The sequence below is a fragment of the Homo sapiens genome, chromosome 11 (assembly GCF_000001405.40).
Source record: "Homo sapiens chromosome 11, GRCh38.p14 Primary Assembly".
Classification (NCBI taxonomy): domain Eukaryota; kingdom Metazoa; phylum Chordata; class Mammalia; order Primates; family Hominidae; genus Homo; species Homo sapiens.
Window position 1 is genome coordinate 134,065,482 of NC_000011.10, and position 21,331 is coordinate 134,086,812.

Here is a 21,331-nt window from a genome sequence, read left to right on the forward strand (position 1 = left end):
AGATGGAGAAACAGAAACATACCCAGGTCTTTGAAAAGCCCTGAAGAAGAATGCTTTAAAGAAGGACTCTGAGGTCAGAGACTTCCATTAGTCAAAGGATCCCACTTCTCTCATGCGATGCGGGTTGACTTCAGATGATTGTTCAGGGCTAGAATAGCATAGTAAAGGAACAGAAGTCATGGATCACATTCCTTTTTTTCTTTTTTTTGAGACATGAGGCATCGGTCAATACATGTAAGGTGTACATTGGTTCTGTCTAGAAAGGTGGGACAACTATAAGTGGGTGGGGTTGGGATTTCAGGTCATAGGCAGATTCAAAGATTATTCTGATAGAAAGGAAGGTCTGGTCTGGCTCTGGGGCAGTGGCTCGCTTCTGTAATCCCAGCACATTGGGAAGTTGAGGCGGGCAAATTACTTGAGCCCAGAAGTTCAAGATCAGCTTGGGCAACATGGTGAGATCCCATCTCTACCAAAAAAAAAAGTAGAAAAATTAGCCAGCTATGGTGGCGCACACCTGTGGTCCCAGCTGCTCAGGAGGCTGAGGTGGGAGGATTGCTTGAGCCTGGAGGTTGAGGCTCAAGCATGAGCCACGATTGTGTGCCACTGCACTCCAGCCTGAGTGACAGGGTAAGACCCTGTCAAACAAACAAACAAACAAAAACAAAAAACAAAACAAAAAAAAAGCAAGCAAGAAAGGAACGTCTGTGTTAGAATAACGGTTGTGGAGACCAAGTTTTTATCATGCAGATGAAGCCTCCAGGTAACAGGCTTCAGAGAGAGAGAGAGAGTCTGTTGTATCAGTCTTTTTTGTTTGTTTGTTTTTAGACGGAGTCTCATTGTGTTGCCCAGGTGGAGTGCAGTGGCACGATCTCAGCTCACTGCAACCTCCGCCTTCTGGGTTCCAGCGATTCTCCTGCCTCAGTCTCCCAAGTAGTTGGAACTACAGGCATGCATCATGATGCCTGGTTAATTTTTTGTATTTTTAGTAGAGACAGGGTTTCACCATGTTGGCCAGGCTGGTCTCAAACTCCTGAACTCAGGTGATTCGCCCACCTTGGCCTCCTAAAGGGCCTGGATTACAGGCCTGAACCACCGCACCTGGCCCTATCAGTCTTAAGATCTGTTTTAATGTTGATGCTGGTCAGTTGGCCTGAATTCCAAAAGGGTGGAGGGTATAATAAGGCATATCCAACTCCCCGATCATGGCTTAAACTAGTTTTTCAGGTTAACTTTGCAGTGCCTTTGGCTGAGAGGAGGGGTCATTTCAGATTGTTGAGGGGCTTAGCTTTTTTTTTTTTTTGAGACAGAGTCTCACTCTGTCACCCAGGCTGAAGTGCAGTGGCGCAATCTTGGCTCACTGCAACTTCCACCTCCCGGGTTCAAGTGATTCTCCTGCCTCAGCCTCCCGAGTAGCTGGGATTACAGGCGCCTGCCACCATGCCTGGCAAATTTTTGTATTTTTAGTAGAGACAGGGTTTCACCATGTTGGTCAGGCTGGTCTCAAACTCCTGACCTCATGGTCTTCCCTCCTTGGTCTGCCAAAGTGCTGAGATTATAGGCGTGAGCCACCACGCCTGGCCAGGGCTTAGCATTTTATTGTTGGTTTACATTCAGTTCCCCGAGCTCTTTTAAGAAGTGCATGTCTCCCTAGTAAGCCACACCTTAGAAATAAGCATATTCAGATGAGTAATGCTGTGATGGAGGCAGAGCCTCCTCAGCCCTGCTCACGGAATGCTTCCAGGACTTTGCTGCTGGCCTTATTGAGCTCTGATTCCCTTCTGCACAGGGTCAGAGCTCTCCAGGGAACAATGAAACCCTAAGGAAGAGCAGACCACTTCACAGCCACGTGTGTCCTACCCCACTCTGCTGCATCCCTAGTTAGACTTCCATTCCAGGAACTGTCTCAGCTGTTGGTAATGACATGCCGACTCCATCTGCAGAGGAAAATCAATGTCTTACAATGAAGCACCTGCCATCCACTCTCCTAGGAACCTCTGCCCCTTATAGAATATTCATGCAGCCCTTTTTTGTAATCTCGGTCTGAGTTTCAAAAGATTCCCTAGCAGGAAGACCATTTAACAGATAGACCATTTTACAACGCAAACACTGAAAATTCCGCAGGAGAAAAGAGGCACTGGTTTTTGAAAACCGTGCTCTGTCCACAGTCAGACACCATCTCACATTTCCAAGTAACCCAAACAGTTCCTTCAGTTAGGTAAATATGCCTGGCCATGTGACCAGGAGCTAAAGGGAATAATAGGGAAAACAGAGGGCAGAAAAAAATGTCAGTGGGCATAAGACGAATTTTCTTCTTTTTAATTTCTCGATTTTGTGCTTGATAAAGGGAAAGAGGCCACCATTATAAAACAACTTTTACACACTTTTACTTGTGATTTAGTGCATGGTGACCTGGAACATAAAGAAGATTTATGAAAGGAAAGACAGAATCATAGTAGGTAATTGAGTTATTTTTTAATTTTTATTCTGTCTTTATAAGATTTTTGAGAAGGTAATCAATTAACATAAAGATCTGAGCAGTTATAAAGATTTACAAAGAAGATTATACAGTGATGGAAACTGAAGCATATTCTTGGCAACAATCTCAATCTATTTCACGTTTCCCGGCTTTTACATATATAAATTTGGTATACATAATATGTAAATATACTTCTATTTTGCATGAAAACTAAAAATACTAAAAAAGTAGCATGAGTATATGAAAAAGTTAAACATTAAAAATATTAGTTGGAAACTGGCTTATTTTACTAACAATTATATTCAGAATTCTGTTGCTAGACTGCTGTTTCTGGGAACATTGGAGGTGTACTTTCTATACTTGCTAAAATACAAGCTTTTCAAGTATTTTCCATAGTATTAAGTGAGACTTTAAATACTCTTGCTTTTTTAGATCTAATTTCTGCTTTAATTTATCCTTCTCTTCATTTTTCCTGTTTGTCCTCATCTTACCTGTTCTTCCCTGGTTTTACTATCTCCCAGTATTCAGAAATCAGAGCAAATAATTAGTCTGCTTTTCTGCAGAATAAACTATTGGGTATGCCATCATGCTTTTGATCTACCACATAAACAAATTATTTTAGCAAGACATCACTTTTATATGCTGTATAATGTATGTATTGCTTATGTTTTAAGCAGATTTCAGCTCTTTTCCTTCCATCAATTTGGAATTGGGGGCCCAAAAGATGTGAAGGCGATAATGCTTCCAAGATAACTGGGCTGCATCCTTATTTGTAAAATAAGAAATACTTTATTTCCCAAATTTTAAAGGAGTGTTCCTTCTCCGACCTGTTGTGATGGATTTATTCTATAGCTATGGAAATATACCCTGCTTCACTCTTGTACATACTTCTTTACTCTCCTCCCGCCAAGTTCATTGAAAGAGAACCCATGTGCCGGTCCAGAGCATCGCTGCATCCGTAAGCAGCTAGACCTCAGCTTCCTCTGTCACCATGGTGCCGGCTCGGCTGGGCCCGGCGGTCGCCATGGTAACTGGGGCGGGTCGCAGGGTCCTGGCAGGCTGGGCGCATGCGCGCGGGGACTACAAGCCGCGCCGCGCTGCCGCTGGCCCCTCAGCAACCCTCGACATGGCGCTGAGGCGGCCACCGCGACTCCGGCTCTGCGCTCGGCTGCCTGACTTCTTCCTGCTGCTGCTTTTCAGGGGTGAGTTTGCGCGTTTCCGCTGTTGGGAGACTAGGGTCTGGGGGCGACGGAAGCAGAGCGGGCCGAAGCTGCTGGAGCCGGTCCGGGCGAGGATAGCGGTCCTGGCTCCGAGGGCTCCCGGGGTCCCGGGCCGGAGGGGCGGCGCGCGCCCGCGTCCCCGCAGCCAGGGCTGGGACTCGGGCCTGGCTAGGGCGGGGGCCCTGGGACGCCCGGCAGTTGGACCGGGGCGGGGAGCTAATTTGGGATGGGGGGCCCGTCCCAGGCAGTGAGTCGGTCCCGGACAGCCGTCGGACCCCGGGGGCGGGCTCTTCTCGGGCGGGGTCCTGTGCTGGGCGGTGGGCTCATCCCCCGGGTGGGCTCCTCCCAGGCGGGGTCCTGTGCTGGGCGGTGGGCTCATCCCCCGGGTGGGCTCCTCCCAGGCGGGGTCCTGTGCTGGGCGGTGGGCTCGTCCCCGGGGTGGACCCCTCCCGGGCGGTGGGCACGGCCCTCTGGAGGGAGCGCGGCAGCTGCGGCGTGGGCGCTGGAACTTGCTGGAAGACCCTGCGCAGCAGTGCTGTGCTCTCCAGAAGGGACGGTGAGCGGGGGACGTAGCTGAGGACCGGCGAGGCAGAGCTCCGAGGCCTGGCGGGCTGCTTGGTCACAGCCCTCTGGGGATCTGCAGTTCATTTGACTCGACACAAAGGAACTGCTTTTCTTTTACAGAAATAAAATGGATATCAATCCAGTACCTTTTTTGTCTCTGGCCTGGCCGAGGAGACCACGCAGACTCTTATCCGGAAATAGCATTCGGGGCATTTGATCAAGACACACTAATAAACTTGATAGTTTTGTGCATTTTCTTTCCCTCTGTTTGGAATTCTCATTAGATCCACATTTTCCTGGACAGTTGTACAGAGGACTAAAATAGCTTTCCTTTAGTGAGCTTGTACTGTCTACTAGGCACTTTGGAGCCATTATCTCGTTTACTCCTTTCAGCAGCTCTGTGAGATAGGTTTCATTAATCCATTTTCAGAGTCAAGTCTAGTCTGCTTTCCAAGGCTGCATTCTAAGTAGTGAAGCCTCAACTTCATATTTACCTAAAGCAGGACACCACACTCTTCCCCTGGCAGCCATCCGCAGGTAACCAGACCAGGACCTTTTTCGGTTCTTAGATTATTTTATTGTTTGAATTGCCACTGTCATCCCATGATGTTTTCCAGAATATACAAATTAAAACACGGAGGGACTGTTTAGGAGTGAAGGTGGACAGATTTTGGAAAACAAAGCATTCCTGTGTTTGGTGCTTTATGCTAATGGGATGCTCGTGATGGGCTGTGACAAAAGATGAGTTTTAGCGTATAGATTATGTACGCTAAGGCAAAGTCTGTATACTTTGCCTGAAAGTGATTCCCAAAACCAAATGCTGTTGGGAGATAAGTGATCAAAGGCTAGCCAGGGGACAAGGGTGTCAGGAATGTCCAGCACCCGCTGTGTTGGTCACACTGACACTGTCCTATTCACAGCCTGGAACAACTCTCTATTGTTGAAAAGATCTGTTCACGTGAAAGTTTGCAGTTTTTGTTGCAGAAGCATTTGGCAGTTTAGCTCAGGAATGAATTTCAACTTGGTAGTTTGTTAATAAAACTAGAAAATGCAAAGAGCTTCACTTACCCTTAACCTCTGATTTCCTTCCCCTAAGGGACTAGTTTTGTGGCTTTTTTGCTGGTAGGGGCTGGGATTCACATGCAGAGCGTAGGAGGAAGAATCAAATTTTGCAAACTAGTTCTAATGACAAATAATCGAGGTAGTAGGATGTATGAATCCACTTTGAAGGCGTGTAGCTATCTTTTTTTTAGTAGGGGCTCTTTTTCCATTATTTGGTTTATGCTTTAAGCTACCCTAAAACTGTTCTTCCAGAAGTCATGACTACTGTGTCCTTTTTATTTTTTATGATTATTCTCAATTGCTATTACTATTTATTTTCATCTTAAAAATTTTGGTTCTTGATATAACAGCAAACATTTCTTTTGTGGTTACCCTTTGCCAGGCTCTGTTACAAGAATTTAATGTTTGCTAATTTATTTAATCTTGATAACTCTAAGAAGTCGTTACTATTGTTGTGCCCTTTTGTGGATGAGGGAACAGAAGTATGGAGAGATTCAGACCCTTGTCGGGAGTGTTATCCTGTGCGTTTTAAATGGGAAATCCTTCATTATTTGTGTTAATCCAATTTTTAGTTATTTGTATTATTCCATTTGACGGTGGAGTTCTTTTAATGGATCAGTTTAAACAGATTATCAAGTTTTCAACACTATGTGGTTTGTATATAAAATATTCTTTTGTTGACTCATGACAGGTGCAGTTCAGCTTTACAAATGTTATGCCACATGGCTTTTTTGAATGATTGTGTACTCATTAGTGTTAGGTTTCCAAATCTTTGATATTCTAGAGAGAAGTGCCTTATTTAGAATTAAAACAGCAACAGTTTTCATTCTTCAGATAAGACAACTTGTGTGCTGAAGCATATCAAAATCTGAAAATCAAAATTTCTGGGAAATTTTTGAAAAAATGTTTAATTCTTTTATTTGCATCTGTTTGGACTCCAGTAACGTTTTTTAGAATGGCATATTCTTTTATGTTCTAATTCTTAATTATCTGGCAGATATAATCATTGTCAGACTTGTGTGTATGTTTTAAAAAAAACAAAGAACACCTGTCTTGAAAGCATGCAGTACTTTATATCAGCTGCTCATTCCCACATGACTTGTTGATGGGCATTTGTTCTTCAGTGCTTCAGGCTAAGGAGACTGAATGGATAAGTACTAGAGATACTTAATCATAAGTAATTGCAGTATTACATTCAGGCAGAATTATCCACACAACCCCTAAGCTCCATGGAACTTGTTCTTAAACTCCATGGGGTGGGTTTAAATCAGTTCTTTTGAAAGCAACCAGACTTTCCTCAAGTATAAGATGGCCACATAATGTAACAGACGCAGCTATGGATTTAGTACATTCGACTAGCAGCTGTTAGAGATGTGGTATTAGCAAATTCCTTCTCCATAAATTCTTTGAATTTTTTAAAAGCACAAATGTAGTAAAAGAAAGGAAAATATGTGTGAATGAAGTTAGGATGTATGGAGTCTGCTGAAGAATACCCTAGTGGTGAAGTTGGATTTTTTTTTTTTTTTGAGACTGAGTTTCTGATGCAGTGGCATGAGCTCAGCTCACTGCAAAACTCACTGCAAAACTCCGCCTCCCAGGTTAAAGCCATTCTCCTGCCTCAGCCTCCCGAGTAGCTGAGATTACAGATGCGTGCCACCTTGCCTGACTAATTTTTTTATTGTTTTTAGTAGACATGGGGTTTCACCATGTTGGCCAGGCTGGTCTTGAACTCCTGACCTCAAGTGACCTGCCCGCCTTGGCCTACCAAAGTGCTGAGATTACAGGCGTGAGCCACCACGCCCAGCTGGATTCTCTTTTAAGATATGTTTATAGTTGGCCGGGTACAGTGGCTCACGCCAGCACTTTGGGAAGCCGAGGTGGGCGGATCACAAGATCAGGAGATCAAGAACATCTTGGCCAACATGATGAAGCCCTGTCTCTACTAAAAATACAAAAATTAGCCGGGCGTGCTGGTGCTTGCCTGTAGTCCCAGCTACTCTGGAGGCTGAGGCAGGAGAATCGCTTGAACCCGGGAGGTGGAGGTTGCAGTGAGCTGAGATTGCGCCACTGCACTCTTGCCTGGGGTACAAGAGTGAAACTCCGTCTTGGGGGAAAAAAAAAGATGTTTATAGTCAGGTGGTGTGAATGTTATGCTGTCAAAGTTGAATGCAAATTTCAGATCTTTGCATGTACTCTCAGAATTCTAGCAGTATATGCAAATAGCTTCACTGGAGTGTAAAGCGATCCCGAAAGAAAGTTTTGGTAAGCACATTCTTTTACACCTAGTTTAGCAAGGACAGTATCCACTGTGGTACTCTATATGGAGAGCTAAAGCCTTAATTGACTGTCTCTCTGCTTCTTGGCATGGCACACAGAAAGCTTCCTGAGAGTTAGCCCTTGTTTCTGATGTCCCAGGAATGCTGTAGTGTTTTGTGTTGGTGTGTTTCTTTTGGTTTTAAGTAGTATTTGTTATGTGTTATATATTACATTTCCCATGAGTAGTTAATACATACAGCAGAGGTTTCAGTGCTGCTTGTATAAAGACATCAAACTATTTAATAGAGTTAGGACTATATGAACATTTTTTCTTACATTATCTTTCATTTGCAGTTTCCCAAGGTTTCTATGGTTCAGCCTTCTTCCTGAAAATTATTGCCAAAATCAAATTCTGCCATAGTCATGCTATCTGCTATGTTTGACAACCTCAGCCCACAGTGATCCTTCCTATCTCTAAATAAGCTTAGATCATAGTCTCTAGTTCAGTTTAGTACAACACCCATTTATTGAGTATCTATGACGTGTCAGGCACTGTTCTGTGTGCTAGGGTTGCAAAATGGGTAAAACATCGCCAGTCCTTAAAGAGCCAGGGTAATTGACTCCGATTTACATTGGGCTTTAGTTGTTAGGTGTCAGTGCATTGTATTTTCTCAATGATAATAAACATTTTGTTGGTAACAGAGGCTGAATTTAATTTTTTTGTATCTTTCCAGAGGTGATTCTAGTAAATATTCAGTTTATCTCACTTTGTCACTTGAAAGTGAGTTAACATTTCTTAAACACTCTCTTTGTGTCGAGGCATTTTTAAAAAAATGTCTTATTTCTAGTGGCCCTAGGAACTTCTGGAAAAGTGTCAGTTTGTACTACAGTAGTTATTCTGGAAGAAAGAGAATGGTAATAATTTATTGACTTGGTTTAATTTCAGAATCTTTCTGCCATCTGCTTTTGTGCAGTTACAAGGTTAAGAAGGAGAAAAAGATGGAGAAATGCTTATGATATCATTTAAGTGACACAAGCTGCAGGTATACTAGTATATACTGTATGATTACGATTACACAAAACATCTATGCTTAGGGGAAAAAACAGGATGAGAATGAACCAGACTGTTGATAGGGGCTGTTTATGAGTGGAAGTGTTACAGCAAATTGTTTTCTGCTTTTCTTTGTTTTTGTTTTCCTGGTTGATTCTTGTATTCCTTTGTCTGTTTTCCAAATGTTCTTTGATGAGGATATTTTTTGTGTAATGAAAAAAGTTGCATCTTGGTTTGGCTTCCAGTAGATACAATAGTGGAATTTTAAATTTGGCACTAGTAATGGGAAAATATAATTTGTTTGTTTAATGTGATAGCATGTGGATTGTGCCTTTTTCTAGCTTCTTAATATCAGCCACATTGGATGAAGGAGTGGCTGACTGGAAGTTCAGTTGCTTGATAATGTATTGTTTGTGACTCATTTGAGAGATTAGTTGCCACTGACTTTTGGGTGGGGGAGTCAGCTGTGGTGTCCTCAGCAAATGGTTAGCTGGAAAACTGAGAGCTGCCGAGATTACCGGCCTCCCCCCTTCTTTTTGAACACACTGACAAAACGATCTGAGTAATGGCCTTTGTTCACCTGTTCAAAGCGAGCCAAAATTTATTGAGCACCTACTCTGTGGCAGCCCCTGGAAGATCTCTGTTTTCTTCCTCTTGAGTGATAAAAATACAGGGTGAAATTGACTTCTGTTGAAACTAGACTCTGAAAGATGTTTCCCGAAGCACTCTGTCAGCTGATGTGCCCCATCACTTCTTCCTGCCCAACATGGACTTCCCTGTTGGATGTCTTTCTCTAAGGAAAATATTTAATGTCTTTAGAATGAAGTGCAGCTGCCTGGAAGCTTAGAGACAATGCAACAAATCCAAAGACAGCTGCTTTTTTTTTTTTTTTTTTTGGCAGGGGTGGGGCATGTTTTTCCTTTAAAGCATCTCTGTCAGGGTACTGAAACTTAATCAGCCAATCCATATTTATTTGGTAGTCTCCATTTTCATGGCAGTAAAGCATTCCATGGGCAAAGCAGGAGAACTTAAGATAATGTCTTCCCTTTACCAGAGGGAACATATAGTTTAGTCAAATAACAGAGCAGCATTTGGGTAAATATTCTGTGGGTTTAGAAGTGAGAGCACTTACTCTCTCTGGGCTGACCTGGTAGAGGAGAATTTCAAAAAGGAGCTGGACTTGTACAGATAATTGACTGACTTAAGTATAGATTTGGGAGGGACAGCGGTGTGGATGGGAAAGTGGAGGAAATAATGTGGGCAAAGGCATGGACTTGGGAATGCACATGTTTTGTTTTGGGATGAGTGAGTTATAATGATTAATAACACCTGCCAATTACTGAAAACTATGTGATAAGCATTGTGCTTATTGCTCTATCTGGGGTCTTAGTGAGCTTGGGCTTCTATGACAGAATACCACAAACAGGGTGGCATAAATAAGACATTTGTTTCACGGGCTCTGGAGCCTCACCTGGGTAATTTTTTGAACATTTTTTTGTAGAAACAAGGTCTTACTATGTTCCCCAGTCTGATCTTGAACTCCTGAGTTTAAGGGATCCTACTGCCTTAGCCTCCCAAAGTGCTGAGATTATGGGCATACACCACCATGCCCTCCCTGAATTTCTTTTCAGTTATTCTACTTGTTATATGTTGTGGTTTGTATACCTGTGAGTTTCTTTCTTTCTTGAGAATTCTCAGTTCTTATCCATTCAAATATCACCTAGCTTGTACCTGCTTAACTTTTTCTTTCTGTGACTGCAATTAAACATGTTTAGTCATTCTGTCCTTCAATACTGTTAACCTCCTTTGTCATTTTTTCATGTTCTTGTCTCTCTGTGCTATTCTGGGTTCTTTATTCATTTTTGTTTTACAGCTAACTTTTTCTGCTTCCAGCTGTATCTAACTTATTATTGATAACCAATCAATACACAGTTTTTCCACCAATTATATTATTCATTTCTAAAATTTTCTTGGTTCTTTTTATAATCAAGTTGTTTTTTGCTTGCTTAATTTTTTTACTCCTTTTCTTTTCTTTTCTTTCTTTTTTTTTTTTTTTTTTTTGAGATGGAGTTTTGCTGTTGTTGCCCAGGCTGGAGTACAATGGTGCAATCTCGGCTCACCGCAACTGCCACCTCCCGGGGTCAAGCAATTCTCCTGCCTCAGCCTCTGGAGTAGCTGGGATTACAGGCGGCCGCCACCACGCCTGGCTAATTTTTGTATTTTTAGTAGAGATGGGGTTTCTCCATGTTGATCAGGCTGGTCTCGAATTCCCGACCTCAGGTGATCCGCCTGCCTCGGCCTCCCAAAGTGCTGGATCACAGGTGTGAGCCACCGCACCTGGCTTACTCCTTTTCAAATTTTTAAAACATTGTGTGCACAGCTGTTTTGTATTCCATATGTGATATTTCAAATATCTGAAGTTCTTAGAGATCTAAATCTGTTGTTATTTCTTATGACTTGTACATATGGTGGTTTCTTTGCTTGTATTATAAATGGATATTTGATTGATATTAATCTGTGAAAATCTAGGCCTAACCTAAGGATACTTTCTCTTTTTTCTATTGGTGTGCACCACCACACTGGGGGAAGTATTTTTTATTTTATTTAATTTTTTTAGAGACGAGGTCTCACTATATTGCCCACACTGAACTCCTGGTCTCAGGTGGTCCTTCGACCTCAGCCTCCCAAATAGCTTTCTTTGCAATCTCACTAACATCTATTGCTTTTTTTTTTTTTTTTTTTTGAGATGGAGTCTTGCTCTGTTTCCAGGCTGGAGTGCAGTGGTGCGATCTCGGCTCACTGCAACCTCTGCCTCTTGGGTTCAAGCGATTCTTCTACCTCAGCCTCCCAAGTAACTGGGATTACAGGCTCCTGCCATCATGCCTGACTAATTTTTGTATTTTTAGTAGAGACAGGGTTTTGCCATGTTGGCCAGGCTGGTCTCGAACTCCTGACCTTAGGTGATCTGCCCACCTTGGCCTCCTAAAGTGCTGGGATTACATGCATGAGGCACTGCACCCGGCCTGTTTTTTGATTATTTAATAGCCATTCTGACTGGTGTGAGATGGCATTTCGTTGTGGTTTGGATTTGCATCTCTCTGATGATGAGCGATGTTGAGCATTTTTTTGTATGTGTGTTGGCCACATACATGTCTTTTGAGAAGTATCTGTTTATGTCTTGCCCACTTTTTAATGGGATTATTTTTTTCTTAAGTTCCTTATAGATTCTGGATATTAGTGTGTCAAGGATGCCTTTTTTTTTTTTTTCTTGAGACAGAGTTTCGCTTTTGTTGCCCAGGCTGGAGTGCAATGGCGTGATCTCGGCTCACTGCAACCTCCGCCTCCTGGGTTCAAGTGATTCTCCTGCTTCAGCCTCCCGAGTAGCTGGGGTTACAGGATCCTGCCACCATGCCTAGCTAATTTTTGTATTTTTAGTAGAGACAGGGTTTCTCCATGTTGGCCAAGCTGGTCTCGAACTCTGGACCTCAGGTGATCCACTCGCCTCAGCCTCCTAAAGTGCAAGCCACCGTGGCTGGCGCCTTTTTTTTTTTTTTTTTTTTTTTGAAACGGAGTTTTGCTCTTTCGCCCATGCTGGAATGCAGTGGAAATCTCGGCTCGGAAATCACTGCAACCTCAAGTGATTCTCCTGCCTCAGCCTCCTGAGTAGCTGGGATTACAGGTGCCCGCCACCATGCCACGCCTGGCTAATTTTTGTATTTTTAGTAGAGACAGTGTTTCACCATGTTGGCCAGGCTGGTCTTGAACTCCTGACCACAGGTGATCCGCCCGCCTCGGCTTCCCAAAGTGCTGAGATTACAGGCGTGAGGCACCGCGCCCGGCCAAGGATGCTTTTTCTTGAGAGTGCAGCCTTCCACTGAGTGACAGTGCCTGTCTCTGGGGTGACTAGCTGTTTCAGGATCCCTGGCATTACTTAAAAATCTCAGGCTCTGCTTTCCTCTTGCCTACCTTTCTGCTGGTCCAAGGGCTCAGTGTCCCCACTGGAGTGTTTTTTTATTTGTTTGTTTTTAAGCTGGAGTCTCGCTCTGTTGCCCAGGCTGGAGGGCAGTGGCATGATCTCGGCCCACTGCAACCACCACCTTCCAAGTTCAAGCGATTCTCCCGCCTCAGCCTCCTGAGTAGCTGGGATTACAGGCATGTGCCACCACACCCGGCTAATTTTTGTATTTTTAGTAGAGACGGGGTATCGCCATGTTGGCCAGGCTAGTCTCAAACTCCTGACCTCAGGTGATCCACCTGCCTTGATCTCCCAAAATGCTGGGATTACAGGTGTGAGCCACCGCACCTGGCCCACTGAAGTGTTAAAATGACCCTTTGCTCTCAGTTTAACACTCCTACCCATCTTTCTGCTCTCTGGTTTTAGCCTACAGCTATATTGGTTTGTCCTTTTAAAGATTTCCCCGACTTCCTTGTGAGACATGGAATAAAAACTATGACTTATGTGAGATCTCGTTGTTGGAGCAGAAGGGCCCTCCAGGGCATCTAATCAGCTACACTTGTGAAAACAGGAATTGGAGCTTTACTTCACCTGTTTCCCCTCTCTTAATGGAAGAGTCACACACCCTTCTTTAAGTGTTCTTGTTATTAGGGTAATGTTTTTGTTTTCCTTTTTTAAATACAAAATTATGGGCCGAGCACAGTGGCTCACGCCTGTAATCCCAGCACTTTGGGAGGCCAAGGCAGGTGGATCACCTGAGGTCGGGAGTTCGAGACCAGCCTGACCAACATGGAGAAACCCTGTCTCTACTAAAAATAAAAAAATTAGCCTGGTATGGTGACATGCGCCTGTAATCCCAGCTGCTTGGGAGGCTGAGGCAGGAGAATTGCTTGAACCTGGGAGGTGGAGGTTGTGGTGAGCCAAGATCACGCCATTGTACTCCAGCCTGGGCAGTAAGAGCGAAACTCTGTTACAAAACAAAACAGAATTATGAACTTAAATATTTGCTTTTTTTTTCATCGCATACACCCCCAGGAAGTTCTGATATTCTTGAGGGTTGGGGTTGTATGCCTCTCCCTAAGAATCACTGCTTTAAGGATGGCGCTCTGTTATTTAAAAAATATACCAAACCCTACAACTATAATCTCTGTCCTTGAATTAGTTTGTCTGAAAAGCAAACATCTATCATTAACTTAAACTTTGGAGAATTATAGCTATTCCACACTAGACAGCCACCTGAAACAGCACCTACTTAGTCTACTAGTAACAGCTATAGATGAAGACATTCAGGGACAAAATACAAAGGTAACTTTACCGAGCTTTCCAGCTGAAATCTGGATTCCGTTCTCCACAGGATGAAGTGCTGGTTTACTGAAAGGTGCCGTCTGATGTAATGTGTGGACAAAAACCACCCACTGCATCTCTGGAAGGCTCCGTTGTTTGCAGCCTTTCAGATAGTTTTCTGGGTGAAAAAAAAAAGCACTGTATCGTGGGTGTTAGGCATTTTGGATTCATTTCCTAGCTTTGCATGTGATTCATTTTTTAGACCTTGGGGAAATAATATTGGTTGTAATCCAAATCACTTGAAAGTAATTTAAACCCCACCTCTCTCACACTACCACCAAAACATCCACATTTCTTTCCCTTTCTTATTATATAACCCACCTTAGATATATGAGTTTTAGATCCAAAGGAGTGACTTTGTAGGCATATAATTTGTAACTGATTAATTGAATTAGTTCATATTTGTTAATTATAATTGCATTTGAAGGTTTTGAAAATGTAGTCAACAGAAATATCTTCCTCTTCTGAAAATTTAGGTGTGTTTTGTAGCCAGGTAAACTTGGTTTGAAGCCTTCCTCTATCGAGAGAGGTTGGAAAAATTTATTCAGAACCCTCGTTTTTGTTTGTTTGTTTTGTTTTGTTCTTTTTTTTGTTTTTTAAATCTACAGCTTTACTTACTAGATCTAGTGTTTTAAGAATTCCTGTGTTTGTTTACCATGAAGAAAAAATGAATAACCAATTGGTTGGGTTGTTATTTTTAATTCAATCTGATTTCTAAGCATCAGATATGAAGTTTTCACTCTGACCATACTTGGTCTAGCTGATAAGTCCACTGGTGATAAAGAATGAGCTTAGAACCTTTGCTGTGAATCACTAAAGCAGTAGCTGAGTAAAGAAAAATTCTCAATCTTTTATTTGCCAGACACTGTTTTAGACCTTGGGGTAACGTCAGTGAAATAGCTTAGGTTTTGACTACTTCATAGGAAAAGATGAAATCTATGGACTCCTCCAAAAAGTGCTTTTATGCATGATATGGTTTGGCTCTGTGTCCCCACCCAAATCTTGTAGCTCCCATAATTTCCTCATGTTGTGGGAGGGACCCAGTGGGAGATAATTGAATCATGGGGTGGGTCTTTCCCATGCTGTTCTTGTGATCGTTAGTAAGTCTCTTGAGATCTGATCGGTTTAAAAAGGGGAGTTTTCCTGCACAAGCTCTCTTCTCTTGTCTGTCGCCATATGAGACATGCCTTTTACCTTCTGCCGTGATTGTGAGGCCTCCCCAACCACGTGGAACTGTTTAAGTCTAATAAACCTCTTTCTTTTGTAAATTGCCCAGTCTCGGGTATGTCTTTATCAGCAGCATGAAAATAGATTAAAAGAGTAAACTGGTACCAGTAGAGTGGGGCGCTACTGAAAATACCTGAAAATGTGGAAGAGACTTTGGAACTGGGTAATAGGCAGAGGTTGGAACAGTTTGGAGGGCTCAGAAGAAGACAAGAAAATGTGGGAAAGTTTGGAACTCGGTAGAGACTTGTTGAATGGTTTTTACCAAAATGCTGATATTGATATGGATAATGAAGTCCAGGCTGGGGTGGTCTCAGATGGAGATTAGGAACTTGTTGGGAACTGGAGTAAAGGTGACTCTTGGTATATTTTAGCTAAGAGTCTGGTGGCATTTTGCCCCTGCCCTAGAGATTTGTGCAACTTTGAACTTGAGAGAGGTGATTTAGGGTATCTAGCGGAAGAAATTTCTAAGCAGGAAAACATTCAAGAGTTGACTTGGGTGCTGTTAAAGGCATTCAGTTTTATAAGAGAAGCAGAGCATAAAAGTTCAGAAAATTTGCAGCTGGACAATGTGATATTAAAGAAAATCTTGTTTTCCGAAGAGAAATTCAAGCTGGCTGCAGAAATTTGCATAAGTAACAAGGAGCCAAATGTTAATCCCCAAGACAATGGGGAAAATGTCTTCAGGGCATGTCAGAGGTCTTCACAGCCACCCCTCCCATCACAGGCCTGGAGGCCTAGGAGGAAAAAGTGGTTTCATGGGCCGGGCCCAGGGTCCCTGTGCTGTATGCTGCCTATAGACTTGGTGCCCTGCCTTCCAGCCACTCTAGCCATGGCTGAAAGGGGCCAGCATAGAGCTGAGGCCATGGCTTCAGAGGGTGCAAGCCCCAAGCCTTGCAGCTTCCACGTGGTGTTGAGCCTGCGAGTGCACAGAAGGTCAAGAATTGAGGTTTGGGAACCTTCACCTAGATTTCAGAGGATGTATGAAAATGCCTGGATGTCCAGGCAGAAGTTTGCTGCAGGGGTGGGGCTCTCATAGAGATCATCTGCTAGGGCAGTGCAGAAGGGAAATGTGGGGTCAGATCCCCTACACAGAGTCCCTACTGGGGTACTGCCTAGTGGAGCTGTGAGAAGAGGGCCACCATCCTCCAGACCCCAGAATGATAGATCCACTGACAGCTTGCACTGTGCACCTGGAAAAGCCACAGACACTGAACACCAGCCCGTGAGAGCAGCGGGGAGCAAGGCTGTATCCTGCAAAAACCACAGGTGGGTAGCTGCCCAAGACCATGGGAACCCACCTCTTTTATCAGTGTGACCTGGATATGAGACTTGGAGTCAAAGGAGATCATTTTGGAGCTTTAAGATTTGACTGCCTTGTTGGATTTCAGACTTGCATGGGGCCTATCGCCCCTTTGTCTTGGCCAATTTCTCCCAATCATTTTGGAGCTTTAAGACTTGACTGCCTTGTTGGATTTCGGACTTGCATGGGGCCTATAGCCCCTTTGTCTTGGCCAATTTCTCCCATTTGGAATGGCTTTATTTACCTAATGCCTATACCACATTGTATCTGGGAAGTAACTAACTTGCTTTTGATTTTACAGGTTCATAGGCAGAAGGGACTTGCTTTGTCTCAGATGAGACTTTGGACTGTGGACTTTTGAGTTAATGCTGAAATGAGCTAAACTTTTGGGGGACTGTTGGGAAGGTATGATTGGTTTTGAAATGTGAGGACATGAGATTTGGGAGGGGCCAGGGGTGGAATGATATGGTTTGGCTCTGTGTTCCCACCCAAATCTCATCTTGTAGCTCCCATAATTTCCTTGTAATGTGGGGGGGAACCGATGGGAGATAATGGAATCATGGGGTGGGTCTTTCTTGTGCTGTTCTCATGATAGTGAATCAGTTTTATGAGATCTGATGGTTTCAAAAAGGGAAGTTTCCCTATACAAGCTCTTCTCTTGTCTGCCGCCGTGTGAGATATGCCTTTCACCTTCTGCCATGGTTATGAGGCCTTCCTAGCCATGTGGAACTGTAACTATGATAAACCTATTTCTTTTGCAAATTGCCCAGTCTCGGGTATGTCTTTATCAGCAGCACGAAAATGGACTAATACAATGCATATACATGAAAAGTTTTATATACTATTTTGGGGGATTTATAACCCCCCCAGAAGACCATTTATGCACCACCTCAGGTTGAGAAGCCTGCTTTAGGGCCAGGATCCCTATAGAGGACACATATTTTTAGAGTGTCTGCTGAAATAGATGCTAACTGCATGTAAACTTCAAGAGTGGTATGCAAAAGCATTATGTTATTCTCTTATTTATTCTTTTCATGAAGTCTCTTGAAGCCTGACTTTTCTATTTTATGGATGATGACTATTAGTGTCAAACATCTGGTCATTTTCTATGTATATTTCCAGCTTAAGTTACTCTCTAGAGGTAGGTCAGAGATGAGACTTTGATTTAAATTGAAAACAGATTATGCATGTAATTTTAGAGATGCTTACTTCTGTGATTTTCACAGTGTTTCATCCTGTTAGTACAGCTTGTGCAGACTTAAGGCATATGAAAAATAGGACAAAATGCTGAGATGAATTGGGTGGAATTCCTCTGTCATCTACCTCCGGTGTCCATTTACAGCAGATCGCTCCCTCCCTTTCCCTATTTCTCCCTCACTCTTTCTCTCTCCAACACAGGCAATAGTGGTGAGAGAAGGTTTTTATAACATTGGATGAGGGATTTGGACTTTATGGAAGCCAGAACAAATATTTTCTCCTTTACTACCCTGGGGCTAGTATCCCACATGCTGTTTGCAAATTGCAAAAAACATTCCTTCAAGTGAGTTTGGAGTCAGGTAACTTTTTGAGGAGGAGTGTTTTTGTTTTGCTCTCTCCTGAACTCACAGATTTTACTCTGTGTGCGTTTCTTGTCAAGTACATTTCCTACATGCAGAGTAAGTAAAATCTGTTAAAACTTTGGTTGTCATTATTCTAATGTGTGAACAGCATCTTTTAGCTCACATTAAAAAAAAACACCAAAAAACCTCTTCTAATGAAACCTTGAGGAAGAAAATTAGCTGGAGTTTAGAGGCTCTGATTTTAAGCCTCCATGATGGGTCCTTTTCTATACCTCCTCTGTAGTGGAGTAAGGATGTGACATGCTTGGGGTAAAACCTCAGTGTCCAGTGGAAATCACCTTACCATCATGGCAGAAATCGCTGGATTTGGCTTTCCAGGTGACAGAAATGGGGCACTTCTTTGCATGTTCTTTGCATCTGCCCTTTCATAGAGAATTGGGGAGATGGAATTGGACTCTAAAGAAATATTACCTTTTTTTCTCTTTTTTCTATGTAAAAGAAAGCTTATGGCTACATAATAAGGAGAAAATTGGTCATAAGACTTTAATTCATTTTTCTACTGGGGGATCACAGGATTTGTAGCATGGTCTTTGGCTCTGTAGAATTATTCTGTCACTGTATTCTGAGTAACCCTGAGCATTGCCATTTTTCTTCTTTTGTTATCATGGCCTGTCTACCTCAAATGCAGGTCATGATCTTGTCTTTCTGTTCATCTCTTAACTCATTCCCCAACATCCAGCTTCATATACCTATCTGTAAAGCCTTTTTAATGGATCTCTTCACTGAGGTGATCTCTTCCTCTTCTGAATTCCTATCATGAAGGAGCATAGCTAGACCGAGGTTTGAATCTCATCTCCGCTATGTGATTGTTGAAGTCAATTTCCTTATCTATAAAAGAGTAGTAATAGCGTAAAGTAGCTTTGTGGGGTTGTTTTACAAAATACTGACTATATATAAAGCTCCTATCAAAGCATCTAAAAGTAACAAAAATAACACAAATTAAAATTAATACAGTCAAATTAATTAATTCATGTGAAGTGCTTAGCAGAGTACCTGTCATAGTAGTAAGCTCTCAGTGTTAGGTTTTGTTTTTCATCAATAAGTGGGAGAGATTTGCTGTTACTAACTGTGCTTGTTCCTGCCAGTACTTCCATTACTACTATGTTGCAGTTCATTTGCTTCTTAATTATTCAGAGGCAGATTTAAAGGGAAGCTCATCTAACCAGTTTTAGAGCCCCTCGCTTACAAAGGAACCACTTACAAGGCCCTGGATTTCACCTAGCAGTGTGTCCTCAAATTTTCAAAATAAGATGCTTTAGCTACGGTCAGTTAAGATGGTTCTCTTCTTCCACTCTTCTTCCCTCTGTCATACTTCTCTTTATGTTGGGTACTACTAAATTGCCACTGGCATTTTTCCCAGCCAAGGGAACTTGAATTGGGTACATATTCAGTTTGGGTTAGTGGGATCACTTAGGTGGTCCACAGCCACTGTTGTGGGTAGTTGTTCTTGCTGGGCATCTCAGTATTGGAATGGCTGCCAGGAATACTCTGCCATCTTATTTGACTCACCTAGGTTTGTAACACGAATTTGTAGGGCCTACCGTGAATGCTAGTGTAAGCCCCTGTAATGCCATGGCAGTGTGGATGTGGTTGAAAAACCAGGTTATGAGTTTTCTCATGTCAAAGGGTATTTAGGATTAGTCAAACTACAAGAAAACTTGAAATGCCCCCAGATTTAACAGTGGTCCTTAAAACTCTGCATGATTTGCAATAATGAATTATGAAGTAGAAAGAAACCATTCCAAACTATTAATATTAAATTTTAAAATTAACCATGCTAAAGGGAAGTCTTAACTATTATTTCCTAGGCAGATTACAAAATCATGGGCATATGATGAGGTGATCAAAGATCCTAAATATGTAGCAAAGATTATAGAGACTAAGGAATTAATAAACATATTGTTATTTTTCTAAATTTTGTTTTGTGTTGCCAGCTTTTAAAATTTGTAATATTTTTGTGATTTCTGTTCTCATTCTTAACAAACATTCTTTGTACCTAATTTCATATTCATAACTTTATGTTTGTTTTCCTACTGGGGGCTCCACTATGACTACCCCAGTCATAGTCTTCCTTGAATCATATCATTTGTTGTTGTATTGACCTACTAATTTAAATCTTTAATGGCAATATGCACTTCCTCTGTGTGTATCTTGGCTCTAAGTAGTCTGCGACTTGAGGACGGGAAGCTTGTCTTCTGTGTAGCGTAATATTTGGAACATCATATACATACAAATATTCATTGATAAGAGAACATCACAGTGTAAGGAGGTGAGTTTCTATTCTTTAGTTGTGGGTTTGGGAGTGGGGCAGGTACTTCACTAGCTATTTTGGAAGGGGCTGACAAGTGTTTCTGTTCAAACGTATTATCGCCTTAACAGATGAGAAGCCATGGATGAGTTTGTATGTTTCTTTATCTTTATTTTAAAATAATTTGGAGTTAGAAGACCTGGGTTCTGCTTTGATTGCTGATACTTTGTAGTTTTGAGGTTGTAATAATCTCCTCACATATTTGAGCCCTATCGTATTAATCTGTAGAGAGGTGATTGTAATTCCCACTTTACAGAATCATTACAAGGACCAAGTAAGATTGTGTGTGTAAACAGAATTTTAAGTTATAAAATATTGTGCAAATATAAAATGTTATTCTCTGCTTTGCTTTATTCCTTCTGAGTTCTGAAGTATCATGAGTCCTCTGGTTCTTCAAAACTATAGGTTACAATTCTAATTTACAATAACCTTCTCTTAAAAAAGCTCCCTTTATGGCTTAGTTAGATGAGATAGCAAGTTTTAAAATCTATTTTCCTATATTGGAAAAATATTTTATCTAGAGGACAGACGAGTATCCTGGATTTTTTTTTTAAAGAAAACAAAAATCTGGTTTTAAGTTTCATGAGTAAAGAAGAAAAATTTCTCTTTGACATTCTTGGATTTAAAAAGTGGTTCAGTGATATTTGTAGAAAAGATTAGACCTCCTATGCCTAGGGGAAATTTTCATGCCTGAACTAGGAAACTTTGAATAATAAGAGGTTTTAGTGGAAATTCCAGCATATTTTTAAGTAAAGGAACTGCCAGTACAAATCAGTGAGTTTACATACAAAATAAACAGCTTATTAAATAAATAGCTATTAAGAATGAATGAGTTCAGGACAAGAAAATGCCACGTAAATAGATAGGGCTCCATGTTCCATAGGCTGTTTCCACCTAAGAGGTTTTCTTATTTCAAGTTTTAAAAAGTGTGTGAGTGGTTTTTTTTGTT

General features: G+C 42.0%; 1 protein-coding gene across 2 annotated transcripts in view, besides 1 other annotated feature; it reads left to right on the forward strand.

Moving 5' to 3' along the window:
• Positions 3,396–3,585: a silencer, noted in NCBI's record as "silent region_4092". NCBI's record gives its function as "represses an Ori minimal core promoter by ATAC-STARR-seq in GM12878 lymphoblastoid cells {active_cell/tissue: GM12878}" and the evidence as "EXISTENCE:reporter gene assay evidence [ECO:0000049][PMID:35858748]".
• Positions 3,591–21,331, forward strand: part of JAM3 (junctional adhesion molecule 3) — an 82,930-nt gene continuing 65,189 nt past the window's right edge. For both annotated transcript variants that reach the window (NM_032801.5, NM_001205329.2), the window contains exon 1: positions 3,591–3,678. In NM_032801.5, the coding sequence (NP_116190.3) occupies positions 3,603–3,678 (76 nt within the window). In that variant the 5' untranslated portion in view covers positions 3,591–3,602. The remainder of the gene's footprint in view (positions 3,679–21,331) is intronic.